At 37.5% G+C, this 14914-nt stretch overlaps 3 protein-coding genes across 7 annotated transcripts in view; 2 read left to right on the forward strand and 1 right to left on the reverse strand.

The window, feature by feature from the left end:
- The window catches only part of FPGT-TNNI3K (FPGT-TNNI3K readthrough), a 346187-nt gene that overhangs the window by 265708 nt on the left and 65565 nt on the right, over nt 1-14914 (forward strand). Inside the window, exon 24 of one of the 2 annotated variants that reach the window (NM_001199327.2) lies at nt 686-973. The exons of the other annotated variant lie outside the window; for it this stretch is intronic. Coding sequence (NP_001186256.3) covers nt 686-793 — 108 coding nt within the window. The 3' untranslated portion in view covers nt 794-973. Of the gene's footprint in view, nt 1-685; nt 974-14914 lie in introns of those variants that run through there. 2 annotated transcript variants of the gene reach the window in all.
- Nucleotides 1-14914, forward strand: part of TNNI3K (TNNI3 interacting kinase) — a 309042-nt gene that overhangs the window by 228563 nt on the left and 65565 nt on the right. The window lies entirely within an intron of this gene.
- LRRC53 (leucine rich repeat containing 53) overlaps nt 5427-14914 on the reverse strand; it is a 67704-nt gene continuing 58216 nt past the window's right edge. For all 4 annotated transcript variants that reach the window (XM_011542512.4, XM_017003081.2, NM_001364666.2 and 1 more), the window contains 2 exons: nt 11346-11861; nt 5427-8252 (listed from right to left, as the gene is read on the reverse strand). In XM_011542512.4, the coding sequence (XP_011540814.2) occupies nt 5929-8252; nt 11346-11861 (2840 nt within the window). In that variant the 3' untranslated portion in view covers nt 5427-5928. The remainder of the gene's footprint in view (nt 8253-11345; nt 11862-14914) is intronic.

The raw sequence follows: 14914 nt of genomic DNA on the forward strand, positions 1-14914 counted from the left end.
TGGCTCACGTAGGAGGCAGAAGACCTGGGTCCTAATCCCTCTCTAACTTTCTGAGTTGACAGTATTATGATGTGGTTAACAGCATAGACTTCGAATTCAAATGGAGTGATCAATGTTATGGAAGGGATATTTAAACAGTAAAATAAATTTTTAAATACGGTCATAGGTCTAAAAGAATAGAGAGGGAATAGTCATATTATCACAGAATGAAATTCCAAACAATCCGCCTGCAAGAAGGGATTCTTAAGTGTGCAGACGGGTTATGTCTGCTTTGTTCTCAGAGTGTCACCGAGGAGATTGCACAACTTCTTTCCTAGTAACACAGTTCAGTCCAGTGTCTAGTAATCCTTCTGCCAGTATATTTTGTTGTCTATTAAAATCCTTGTGTTTTGATATCAATCGATTCCATTGCTCAGAGTGGAGAGTATTAGTTTGCATTCTTCACAATGGAGGACCTCATATGTAAAGACCTAATGGTTCTTATTTTTCCATCCTAAACCATCCTAGTTATTGTCCTCTTAAATTATAACTTTGTTTCTGATCCTTCCTAGGCACTTTATAGCTCTTCAACAAGAGAATAAAGTGAGGCTATTATTTCAGGAAATATCTCACTCAGGAGAAATAAAATAGGCCCCAGTCCAGATGTTTGAAAAGAGAATGCAAATTTTCCATTCTTTTCCTAAAGGCAAAATCCAGACCAAGTCATTACCCAGTCTCATCTGTGTACACAGAAACTCTTAAGAAGAAAAATGAAGATCGTTTTGGGATGTGGATTGAGTATCTCAGAAGATAACCTCTTATCCTGGCCATTCAACCTGATGTGTTACATGTTTATTTGTTTAGAATCTTCCATCACTACCAAAATGTTAGCTCCATGAAAGCGGTCCTTTTTGTTTATTTTGTTCACTGCTATAACACTAACATCTAAAGCTGGATGCTTAAGAATGTTTGTTGAGTAAATGAATGAATACCAGTATTGCCTATCAGTGCCTTCAATCTCTGCATCTGAATTTTGATGTCCAGAAAATTTCATCTTGAAAATTACATCACATAAAATAGTTTAGGAAAACATTTTCTTGTATTTCAGTGTGAACCTCAGAAAAAGTATGTCAAGCACCTATTCTAGAATTTCCTTCTCTCTGTGGGATGTGAGCTATTGAGAGATGACAACGTGCTAGCAGCCCTCACTCACTCTCGGGGCCTCCTTGGCCTCGTAGTCCACTCTGGCCACACATGAGGAACTCTTCAGCCCCCAGCTGCACCGTGGGAACCCCTCTCTGGGCTGGCCGAGGCCGGAGCCCACTCCCTCAGCTTGCGGGGAGGTGTGGAGGGAGAGGCGCAGGAGGTAACCAGCTGGCGCTCGGGTGCCAGCATGAGTTCCCAGTGGGTGCAGGCCCCATACTTGGAGTGGCCGGTGGGCGCCACTCCAGGCACTGAGGGGCTTAGCACCTGAGCCAGCAGCTGCAGAGGGTGGGCCAGGTCCCGCAACACTGCTGGCCCGCCCGCACCGTGCTCAAATTCTCACCAGGCCTCAGCTGCCTCCCCACACGGCAGGGCTTGGGACTTGCAGCCCTCCATGCCCGAGTCCCCCCCCAACCGTGGGCTCCTGCGTGGCCCGAGCCTCTCCTATGGGCACTGCCCCCTGCTTCACGGCACCGGGTCCCACCGACCGCCCAAAGGCTGAGGAGTGCAGGCGCATGATGCAGGACTGGTGGGCAGCTCTGCCCACGGCCCTGGCCAGGTATCCACTAGGCAAAGCCAGCTGGGCTCCTGTGTGGGGTGGGGTCTTGGAGAACTTTTATGTCTATCTAGAGGGTTGTAAATGCACCAATCAGCACTCTGTGTCTAGCTCAGGGACCGTAAACACACCAATCAGCACCCTGTCAAAACGGACCAATCAGCTCTCTGTAAAATGGACCAATCAGCAGGATGTGGGTGGGGCCAGATAAGGGAATAAAAGCAGGGTGCCCAAGCCAGCAGCAGCAGTAAGCCACTCTGGTCATCTTCTGTATTGTGGAAGCTATGATTTTTGCTCTTAGCGATAAGTCTTGCTGATGTTCACTCTTTGGTCCACGCTGTGTTTATGAGCTGTAACACTGACCCCGAAGGTCTGCAGCTTCACTCCTGAAGTCAGCAAGACCACGAACCCACCAGAAGGAAGAAACTCCGGACATATCTGAACATCTGAAGGAACAAACTCCGGACACGCCATCTTTAAGAAGTGTAACACTCACTGCGTGGGTGTGCGGCTTCATTCTTGAAGTCAGCGAGACCAAGAACCCACCAATTCTGGACACACTATGACAAAGTTTACCATCAAATAACAATCAAGGGAATCCCTTTTTCTTTGATGAAGTGTCTCTTCATAATTATAGATAACAGGCATGTGGAATTTCTAATATCAATGTAAAGATAGGTCATTGGCAGGTTCTAAAAGCATTTTTTGGGTAGGATGGATGTCTCAAGCAAAGAGTTGGGAAATGACAAACAGAAATTGGAATATGGCCAAAGGATACTGTTAAAAAAAAGAAAGGATAAAAATCGATTGCTTAGCAGAAAAGTTGTACTGTTAAGAAGTGAAGTTTGTCAGCACGGAGTCTTTGTTCTGCTGATGAGATGAAGAGGGGAAGATGAAGAAAAAGCATATTAGGAAAGCAAAGTCTTCAGCTGGCTTGAGATATGTGGGTCTGCCAGTCAGTTGAGCCTGACTTGGCTCTGGTAACCACCTCAGGATAATGAAGTTGAGCTGCTTCTGTATGTGACTCACTTGAGTCTTTCTTAATTGTCCAGTAAGGTCTTCATCATGTTAGCAAGCTGAGTGGCAAAGAAAAGGGAACAGTGGGCTGTTTTTCATTCTTTCCTTCAACAATTATTTGTTGAGTTCCTACTGTATACCTCCTAGGATAGGGGAAAGGGATTCAATAGAGATGTAAACTCTTAAATGGAGTTTAAGACCTGCTAGTTATATGGAGATTGATTGAATAAACATTTTAATGATTCTATAGTTAACTGCCAAGGTTAAGAAAGACAAAACTCTGTGAGACTATATACTAAAACAATACTACTCGCAAGTTGGGGGACAAAGACAGAATGCAGGTTAGTGAAGGCTTCCCAAAAAGAGTAACACTTGAGCTGAGGCCATAAACAGTAGTTTTCTGAAAGAAGGCGGCTTGGTGAGAAAGAAAAACAGTCTAAGCAACCAGAACATACGAAAATTCATTAGGAGAACAGATACAAGGGAAAGACTAGTAGCAGTTGCAACATTGTAGCCATGGAGAGGTTAAATCTCTGTATCAGGCATTATTTGAAACAAGTTCATCTTTAGATGGAGGACACTAACATCATGCTATTCTGGTCATTACTTTCTAGGTTATCAACTGTGCTTCTCATTTTTTCTTGCATATCTGTCTTTACTTCATTCCTTGAATTTGAAGCACAGTATTTTCTCCAGGATGTCTTCTTAGTCAAAACTCATAAACTAGAACATTGAGGAGAGTAAGAAGAATAGTCTATTGAAGATGGGAGAAGGTTGGAAAACAGTAAGAGGTAGAAAAAAGCCTGATACTAGATAGTGACAGATTTTGGAAACTGGAACAGGAAATTTGGACGTGAAATTATGGCAATTATATTTTTTTCTCTAAAGGAGTGAAAAGATAAAAGTAATTTTTTAGGAAGTTCATCTGAGTTTGATACAAAGGATTTATTTACTTAAAAAAATTGTAGTTCCTACAGTAAGGCAAACACTGAATTATCTTGTAATGCTCATTGGAATAGCTAAGCATTGATTCTTAATATGTGGGCTGCAAACTATGTATTCCAGATTACCCTGGAAAGTTTGTTGAAATGAAGATTCTGGGGCCCTAATCTAAGTTTACTGAATTAAAATCTCTCAGATGGAGCCTGAAACTCCACAATTTAACAAGCGCCCCAGGTGATTTGTGCCCAACAAAGATAAAAAATGAATGGGTTGAAACTCAAGCAAAAGACAATGAAGTTGGAGCAGCCAGCTGGACTGCTGTTTGAGTAATCCAGTTGATTACAACACACAGACTACAATGGTTACCATGGAGATTCAAGGGCAAGGGTAAACCTGAGAACTATTTCAAAGGAAACATCATAAAGAGGTAAAAGACTGGATTTCAGAAATGGAAGAGAGAAAAGAGACCAGGAGAACTAGGATTGCTGCCTCCTGAGAGTCAGTTAGTGACCAAGAGTACTCATTAGGCCTCTAGATATCAGGGATATTCTTGGCAGTGAGAGCAGAGAGAACAAAGCTAAAGGTGCTGAAGTAAGGTGACAGCGCTTTAAAGAAGAAGAAAAAAAAAAAGGAAAAAGAAAGATAGCTACCAAGAAAAAAAGTGACCTGGTCTACAAAGATGAAGAAACTGTCGATTAGGGTGGAATAAACTTATCATGCAAGAAGTTGGCATAGATACTCGTCTCACCTTAAAGGTGCTTTAAAAATAAAGTGGGGTCAGGCAAGGCAGATAGGTGGCATAGCAGTTAAGCTCAAGCAGAGATAATGAACAGAAATACCAGAGGAATTAGGATTAAAAGCAATAAAGTCTTGAATATTGGCGAGAAAAGATGAAGAAGAGAGGTAAGAAGTTTAGGAATTTTCAAAATAAGAAACTTAAGTTATTTCCTAGCAACTCTGAATAGGAAGGGAAACAAAAGAGGCGGGGTATGTAGGCAATATTTATGTTGTTCTAATCTTATAAGGTTTATAAAGCTTATTTATTATTATTATTCTACCAAATGCAGATATAAAGATGTATAGACCTAGACAGGTGTAGAGATAGGAGAAGAGGAAGTTTGTTTCCCTTTTAACATTTTTGTTCCCCTACTAAAAAATGTAAAATATTATAATATTCTAAATTGTGAAGGTATGCTTCAAATATTTTTTACAGTGGTCTCAATAATTAAATTATTTGAATATATCTATATTTTTCAAATAAGCATGGCTTTGAATGAGACATGTTTGTTCTGTTACTGTTTTTAAATTTAATATTTATATTCACATTTAATTCCAGTGTATAAGGAGGAGTTCTCACTCCAAACAACAGTGGCATGCGAAACCCAAGAGATCAGACCTTGAAAGCTATGCACTAATAGGTTATTTAGTTTTCAAAATCTTAAATTAATAACAATTGGCAATAAAGCTCATTAAAATTCCTTTTGTTCAGGATCCATTGTGTCGATCTTCAAGCCCTGTTCTTCTAAAATGATTGAAGCTGAGATCTCCACCTAGTGGATATATAGGATTTTGCAGATCTTTATGGGAACAGCCAACTATCCCTGGAAATCCTTAATTTTTTTCTCTTAGAGAAATAACAAGTTTTAAAGACTTCTACTTAAATCTGGGATGATTGTCAACAGGACAATTGCAAATGTATGAAACATACCAATATGCATATCAGTTACACTACAGTTAACAAAGCTGAATTTTTATTTTCATACTATAATTAGGAAAACAGATCAAACACAAATATGAATATATAATTATCCATGTAGAAAGCAATATTGTAATACCACTAATTGAGATATGTATAATAATTTACATGAAATAAACATCAAATGTAAATCTGCTCAAATACTCTTCTTATGTAGTTTTTCATTTGTTTAAGGCTTTTTTTTTTTCAATGTTTGCTTGCTTTTGCAAGACTTGGCAAAACTTTTCTTACTTGTTTTTTCATTCCTTAGAGAAGCATACTCAGTTAATTGTGTCAGACGTATCCTATGACTCCATCTTTGATTTTTGTCATATATTCAACTCTGGTTTTATTTTATTGATAACAAAGAGTTACTGAGGACGTTGTTGTCCTCCAAAATGATCCACTTCTAATGCATGCAAAGGCTAGTGGGTGTTTGTCCTCTTGAAGAAAGCTAAAGTAGAAAAGGATTATTATTTGAGTTATTTTGTTCACTTTATTCTGTTTCTAAAGGTGATGTAGTAGCATATTCAGCAGATGGTGGATACAGTACAGGTTTTGGAGCAGAGTTTTCAGCTTCATTTATTCTGCTAGGAACTAAAAACACCTCATTTTCTGCCTCAAAACTGTCTTTTAACCCTGGTAAGAAGGAAAGCGCTTCATGTGTCTCCACTGTCATTGCGCCTTCTTTATGTGCACTATCTTTATCTGGTTGAATATTTTGAACTTCTCTAAAATTATGTACATTACTGTTAACTTCAGGATCTACTTCACTGCAAAGTATTCTATTTTGGGTTTCATGGGAACTTGTGATACTTAAATCTTTAGCTGTAATGGTCTCCTCGGCAGAGCTTGCATCATGTAATATATATTTTTCACTTGTTCCATTTTCCCAAGTTTGCTGCCTTTCTTTTGTGATGCCTTTTAAGGTCATTTGTGAGATCTGAGTTAACATACTAGAATCTGTCTTGCTTTCATCAAGCATATTTTTCTCTTCTTTCCCTACTATTTTTATCTCTAGTGCTTCAGTGCCGTCATTTCTGGGCAATGCATTTGTGCTGTCAATTCCTTTTTCGCTACTATTGGTTAGGTGCCAAACGGCTTGACTACTAACAGGAGAAGTACTGATATCCTTGGGAAGTTCTATTCTATTTTGGTATGGAATTGAATTTGTCTTCATAAATGATAGGTTGTTCTTGGATTGTGTTTGGGGAATGAGAGAGGAATCATAAGTTTCTGTTTTTGAAAGTTTTTTTTCTACATCATTTTCTTCCTTATCCATAATACAATTTTCCACAATTTGATGTGATATTTGGGGTTTTGTCATTAATGTTTTTTCTTTATTTTCAAGCTGTGCATGACTTGAATTTTGCTCTCTGTGTTGTAAGGCTTCATTTTGGTCTAAAGTGTATTCCTTGTTGTAGCTGTCAGTCTTGTGAGCATCTAAAAGTTGTGTTTGATTCCTCGGGGACAAAGAAAACTGATTTAACTCACTGGTCTTTGATACATTCTGTCCCATGTGCTCAGTGGACTCCGTTGTCCCTTGGTCAGTAGCCCTCCTGGAATGTTGGAATGGTAAAACATCACTTCCTGTATTTTCCCAAGTAGTTGCTAAATAACTAAGCACTTTTGATTCAAGCTGAGTTGCATCTTCCATTTGCTCAGTTGAGAATTGAGAATGTGAGTGCCTGTGCTCAGCATCAGTGGGTGTAGGTTGGGGCAATTTTGATGTGTTTCCATCAGGAATGTGGCCAGCTGAGTAACAGCTGCTTTCTATAGAGCTCTGGTTGACTACACGCAAGTTGTTAGCACTGAGCAGGGGGGCACGTTTAGTGTTTCGTTGATAATATGGGGTCTGCTTTGAGTCATGTTTCAGAGGCAGCCTCTTTGAAGTGAGTCTAACATAGTTGCTACTCTCTGACTGTTGAAGAAAATCTGCAGAACACACAGTATTTATTTTGGCTTCTGTCTCAGAAGTTTTGGATAATTTCTTAGGAGGCAACAATACCTGCTTGCATTGCTTTGGGAGACTTGACAAGGATTTTTCTGGATGGACTCTGACTTTTCTAAAAGGATGTAAATTTAATTTTAAGTTTTGTCCTTTAATTTTCCCTTTGAGGTCAGACTGAGGGGTTCTCTTCCTTTTCAGAACCCATGAATTAGTAAACCATTTTTCTCCTTTGTTTCTCTCCCCAGTGTTGCTAAATTTTTTAACATCCAACTTAGTCAGTTGGTTACTTTGATTTTTCTGTCGTTTCCAAGGGGTTGATATTTTGGGTGACATCATCGACCTATTTATTTCTACTAAATCAGGATCATGGAAGATAACCCTCTTTGGGGAATATGCTTTCTTGGTTTTTGTTGATAATCCTGATAAATCTATGTTGTCCTCACTCATAAGAAATTTTTCTATTGCACTGTTAATTTGGATTTGCTCTTTCTCAGGCTTTGAGTGTTGTCTACGATTTGGCTTCTTTTCTTTCATGTAATCTTCAAATTGCTCACAGGGCACATATTTACAGATAAGAGAATTGTTTGGCTGAAAATACCTAGGTTTGCTCTGTTTTAACAGTCCACAAGGATCATCATATTTTGATCTATTTTTTTGTACGATCTTTTGTACATAGTGTTCCTCAGGCTCACAAGGCTTGGATGATGAGCTTGTAATAAAATGTCTTTGCCTATGAGGGTGTAAGCCATTGTCTTCTTTTTCTATTGGAGGCTGCCATGATTCATTTGTTAAACGCTTCTCAAGACTTTCTCCTGCCAAGGCTGAAGCGGGTGTTGCATATCTTCTTCTAAATATGTCACTGCTGATATCTGTGGAACAATAAATGCAAGAATTTAGCACTTAGCAGAGTTTTATTACCCCAACCAAACAGATGCGTAGAAACCTTATGAAAAGTATAAAACTGACTCCTCTGATAATTGCAGTTCTTCACTATTTCCTAATTTGTAACCAAACCTACAAAGGACATTTGTCAGTCCCATATGTTTTGCAATGACACTCTTTATGGTCACACTGCAGTCAGTTGCGATGCTGACTTAAAAGTTGTGGAGTTAGAAATATAAATGTTATTTATAGTCATATATCTTTAGTTGTTGGTTAGGTTAGCTTTAAATATGAATAGTATGTAAATCCTTTGTAAATGGCTATAGTAATTTTTTCCTGAATTCATTTCCCATTTGCAACTTAAATATTGGGCAGAACATGGGTGCAATATTGAGTAATGTTCAGGTTTCAGATAATCAATAATAAGATAATAATTTGACAATGAAAGGGAAATACTTGCAATACTATTGACTCAATGAAAGCAGAGACCATATCTGTTTTATTTCCCATAACTTAATAAAATGTTCATTAAATATTTGTTAAATAAATAGGTATTTTGAAATATAGCCAGGTTTGTGTGGCAGCAGTCTTTACCTGGGACTTTTAAAATGGTACAGATTAATATAATATTTAATCTTATTAATCTTATAACTTCTTCTGCTAGCTTCTTTTAAATGTCTGCCTGCAAATTCCTCTTCATGTTACAATCTTTCATTTACTAAAGGAAAATAGTACATGATGAACCATTCAGAAAGGAAGCTTCCTTTGACTGTTTGGGGACAGACCATATCTACAGCCCTATAGGCACATGTGGAAGAAGGAAACTTGTACTGGCTTCTTCTTAATGTCTGCCTCTAATCTCCTTTTACACATTAAATAATATTAATGACAAAAATAATAGTAATACCATTAATTGAGCACATGCTAAGAGCTAGGCATTGTGCTCATAATGTACGTTCATCATCTCTTTTAATATTCACAAGAGACGTGATCCATTGGACAGATCCTACTGTCTTATAACTTTTACAGATGAAGGAATGAGCTTTAAAGAAGTTGAATGCTTTCCCGTAGTCACACATCAGCTAAGTGTTGAAACCAAGAATTGAACCCAAGTCTATCTGACATTAAACGACCCTATTGTCTTAACCACAATGCATCTAAAATTTAAAATTATTTATTAGTATACTTTCTATTGTTTCATGAAATTTTTTCATCCAGAGGAAGAAGTTTTTTATTCCATGAGAAAAAAGGAAATCTTAACTGCAAAACATCTTAACCGCAAAAAATCCTAACAGCACTATTGCTATTTAAAAGGCTATTTTTTTTTTTCATTTTTAACATTGTTAGGTGTTAGGCCTCAAAATTAACTTTTAGTAGACAGGAGATGTACTCTCAGCTCCTAAGGGTGGGGATACTCCATCTCCAATTTTCCCCAAGAGGTAAACTAAGTTCCAGACTAGCATCTAATTCCAATCTAAGATCTGCCGTCAACATTCTGGGTGACCTTGGAGAAGCTGCTTGTTCGCTGTGTATTGGAAGGTTGGACTAGATGGGAGCTTTATGTAAGTAAACAAATTATGTTGGGGAAAGAATCTGTAGCCTTTGTCAGAGTCTCAGAGAGTTCTGTGACTCAAAGATAAACATTAAGAACTATTAGTCTAGATCTAAAGTCCTCTCTACACTGGAAAGTCTATAATTCTTTTTCCAAGTCAGAAGGCATAATCAGAGTGGCAATTTTTCTTTACCGATTTCTGTTCTGGAGCAGATGTGACCTTGGCTGTTTTCTCCTCAAATACCTGCCCTCTCTAGTTCTGGTACAATGCCTGGCATAGAGCAGAATTTCTGGTATTTCTTAAAAGTATTCATGTTAATCTGACAAACCAGTGTTCTCAGTGTGAAAACAACAGACTGGGTTTTAAATGGTTAAAAGAGCACATCCCCTTCAGTTATAGGAGTTTCCCACAGAGAAGTTCAGGCATTGGACAAAGTTAAAAGATGAAATGAAAGATCTGCCTAAGGTATGATTCTAATGAAAGGGTAAGTGCTTATTTCTTTATAAAATAAAGCCAGTCTGACCTGGTTTCTATGGCATATGTTTCTTTCCTCAGCCATCCCTCTGTTGTGTGAAATCATCAACCCCCAGACACTGGTAAGAACTGGAGTGTGGGAATGCAATGGAATAAACTCACATCCTACCTTATAACATACGTGAAATAACATATGGTTTTATTCTTATCCAGTCGCCCCAAAATGCATCCTTAGGGCCAGACCCCTGTGGTAAGAATTTCTTGATACAGCACCTCTGTCATTCATACTCTTAGAGAAAGCTCTGCTTGTTGTGAACCAATTCAAATAAATGACAGGAACCTCTTTACAGAGCAGCTGTCAACATTTTCACTGCTGAGCCTGAATGCGTAGCCTTACTATTCAGGAAGAAAAAGGAAGACGTTTAATTCATTGCCTTCACCTAAATATTGACATCGCCCATGTACAGTGGGTAGATGTCACGGCCAGATTCACTTGGCTCCCAGTGTGGGACAATGAATTAAGTCCTGACTTTCCCTGGACTGGGAAGTTATCATCCCTGACAGCTCAGCAAGCAAAGTACGTTTCTTGACATCATTCCTGAAATGAATCACTAGCATTAGAGGGCCCATTCTTCTAACATGTCATGCTCTGGGAAGGTTGCTTACTGCAGAATTGGCATTAGAGCTCGAAGGATGTTGGAATAAAAGCTGATACTAGCTATCCCATAGATCTTAACAGCACTATTGCTATTTAAAAGGCTACTTTTTTTCTTTTTTTAACATTGTTAGGTGTTGGGCCTCAAAATTTACTTTTAGCAGTCAGGAGATGCACTGTCAGCTCCTAAAAGTAAGAACACTTCATCTCCACCTCAGCCCACACACACACACACACACACACACACACACACACACACACAGTATTTTTAGAAAAGGAATAGACTAGTGCTATAGTGATTTTTATAGTATTTCCTGTTGAGGAAATTAAAGGAGGGAGGCTCCCTCCTTCAAAAAGAATTAAACGGAGTGGGATTTTCTAAAACAAGACAAACTCACCTTCTGTTCTTATTATATGGTGTTGCAGAGTTTGAGGCTGGACTTCTCCAGGCTCAAGATTCCATAGCTTTTGAACTTTCCTTGGATTATATGTTGTAAGTAAGCCTGCTTCATTAAAAGCTCTCATATTTCCAGGAGGCTCTGAACATTCCGAATGCAGCAATCTACCATCCTGGCAAAATAAAGTGCTGCCTACCCCACGGTCTTTCTTTTTCAGGTTTCTAAATGATCCGTCAAGGGTTGCAGACTCAGAGGCCGATGTTGCTTGATGGCTATTTTCCTGTAAAAGTGGCATTTCTTTTCTGGACCCCACAGTGGACATGACCTTTATCTCGTTTTCCTGAGTTAAGTGGCAGTTGCAGTATCCCTTAGTGTGGTAATTTCTTGCCTCATGAGCACACAGGGGTTCATCGAAGGTTCTGCAACAAAGGTTTTCTGATGTGTGTTCATTTGCTTTGCCTTGGTGGAGTTTCCAGTTAAATACAACTAAACCTAGGCAAGTGAGACCAACAGCTCCTATGACAAATAGAGAGACCATTAAAAGATAACATCTTGGGAAGAAACACATAAATCATCAAATGTAAAAACCACAAATATAAAGGTTAATGGCTTGAAAGATATCAGAATGGGTAGGAAGTCCTTCACCATTTGGAAAAATATCAGTCCAGACAGAGGCTACCATTGACATTGTTCTGCTTTCCAATTTGGATCTTTATACCTATTAAAAATTATAAGAAACAACACCATCTGGAATCTCTTTGGTAGAAAAAAAGGCTGTTTCATGAACTGAAACTCATTTAAGATAAAACAGTTCCTGCAGTAACATTATTTTTTCGGTCTACGTCACCTCCTTTTATGAACTCTCATAATAGAGTGAATGACTTCTAATCTCAGACTGCCTGGTACTGTCATTTCATGTTCTATGTAGTTTGTCCTCTGAATAAAATTGCAAGATCCAGTGTTTCTCAAACCCATGTGCCGACTCTAACCTGTTTCTATTTCACTTTTTCCTGTCTTGACAAATGGCATCCTCAACCACCTAAATGTTCAAACCAATGTCCCTGAGTCATATCCTCATTATCTGTCTATCACAATGATTTCCCTTGTTTTTTCACCCTTATGAGGTGTATTATTCTGTTTATTCATTCATATGCTTGTTCGCAGACTGTCCTCCTCTGCTACAACTGAGCACTGTGAGGCAACACATCCTTTTAGTCCTGTTCAACATTCTATCCCCAGTGTCCACAACTCTGAGACAAAGGAGGCAGAAATATTTATTAAATATTCTTAAATCAACAGAAGGGATTCTGTTTATGAATTCTGATAATGAAATCATTGGTGATCTAATCTTATAAATTCTCAAGATGTGATTAGGAAGATATGGTGTCAGTACAGATTGAATAAAGAGATCTGTGCCCTAAACCCACATCTGCCTGAGGACAGTGCCCTTTTCTGGAAATAAAGACAGCATTCCAGATTCTTTGACTGGCTACACCATGTCTAGTTTTATCCACTGGAGACAATATTAATGAAAACATATTTTTAAAACTTAAATGAAAAGGGAGGGTATCAGGTCATGATTGTTTCTTTTTTTTCTGTTAAAGATGAAGAGCAAACATGGAGAATAGCAGTTTCTGGTAAAATCCTCATACCATTGTATAGTTTACCATATCTTGAACTCTTAAATCTATTTTAATTCATTTGCCAACAATACACTCTTGGAAAGTGCTATAACATATTGAAGCAATCTCTATTAAAGGCACATTTTTAAAGTTGTAGCAAAATTATGTAAATAATAATCCTTTTATTGACAGATAGATTCTAGAGTTTGAATTATCCCAAACAAGGATTTTGGTTTTAAAATGTTAAAGAATATATTAAAAAATTAAAAATTAGAACCACTCTTTAACTCATATGGGTAAGAAAACTCAAGATTCAAAGCTATATTCTGACACTTTTCTTGGGTATTTTCTAATTCCTCTAACACTTATTTTTTTTCTCCTTTCACAAATGAGGATAACTAATACTACCCAGGGATTAAATAATATATGTGACATGTTTAATACAGTGCTTTGATTCAGTGAATGTTCATTGTGATTTGTGATTATTATTACTGAGCTACCATTGTTTAGGTTTTGCATTGCTCTATTGGTTCCTGGAAGACTCACCTGTCAGGAACAAAAAAATCCAAAAAATAAATCATTATGATGATATTTTAAATGACTAGTGCAGTTAGTAGACCAAATAATGAAGGAACAAAAGGGCTAAGTTTTCTTTAAGACAAGAATCAGCCACTGAAATGAGAGTAAACATAATTTGATTATAGGATACAGTTTCTCCTCTAATTGTGTCTGAATGGCAGGGACCCACTCACTCCCCTGCTCTTGATACTAGGTATATATCTGTATCCCATTACCAGTCAGGTATGGTCACTTTCCATTAGTGCAGAAAGCAAAAGCAGCAAATGAAGCTTGTAGGCAGGCGGAATGTGCTATTAAGAAGACGTTTGAATTTTCTTTGCCATGGGCATTGTTTCTATTTTTAAAAAGTGTTCTAACAATCTACCTGTGTTGGCAAGAGAAAAAGGGAAAATTAATGATAAGTTCTTATTGAAACATTAGAAACACATTACAGCTTCATAAAAACTTTTTATCTACCAGTTCATAGTGTAAGTGTCAAGATATTAGTGTTTGATGCCAAATAACCATTTATTAGTTTTAAATTTACAAATATAGCTATTTATGTTCTTTGGAATTTTTATGACTTAGATATAGCTGAAGAAGAAAATGGTCTCATAGGCAAAATTATAGTTCTAAGTGTTTTTCCCACAATCTAGAAGTATAGATAACTCACCACACGTGTGCTTCAGAAAGAGTGGAATCTTAATGGAGCAAATTAACATCAAAAATCAGAGTCTTTTTAAAGAAGAATCTCTTCTCAAAGCACTACAATTTAACAATTATTTGATGAAAGATATATTAGTATGATAATTCACACCAAAACTTAACATATATGTAATCATATTTATAATTTATCAGAATTTATTCATGTATATTAAGCTCCCAGTCATTTTGACAAAACTTTTGGAATCTTCTAGAATTTGTATTCATCTCAATACTAATAAAGAACTGTTAATGTAGCTAAATATATTTCTGAATACATATTTCTGAAAACAGATGTAAAAGTAACTAAAAGATACTAAAAATTGCTCTATTATAATATTTCCAAAACGATGTCCTCTAGAACACAAATTCAATGAAATCCTCTATGAAAAAAAGGGATCATGGCCAAATAAGTTCAAGAAATGCTCCATATCACACCTTCTTCTTAGAAATTTATAGTGCTTATTAGAAAATGAAAGGTTACGAGAAGTGCTGCAGTGAGTATACCTGTTTCACTTTGCTTAACTTAGTACCTTCTAAACCTATGTGAACCCCACCATCTATTGCCTATGCGTGCATCTGTGTGTTTTTATTGGGATATCTATTAATTATCCACCAGTGCTAGTATTCTAAGAAGCACATTTAAGGGAAACCTCTCTGCTGCCCTATCACTTATGTCTTTTATGG

This window comes from Homo sapiens, chromosome 1 (assembly GCF_000001405.40).
Source record: "Homo sapiens chromosome 1, GRCh38.p14 Primary Assembly".
In the NCBI taxonomy this organism is placed as follows: domain Eukaryota; kingdom Metazoa; phylum Chordata; class Mammalia; order Primates; family Hominidae; genus Homo; species Homo sapiens.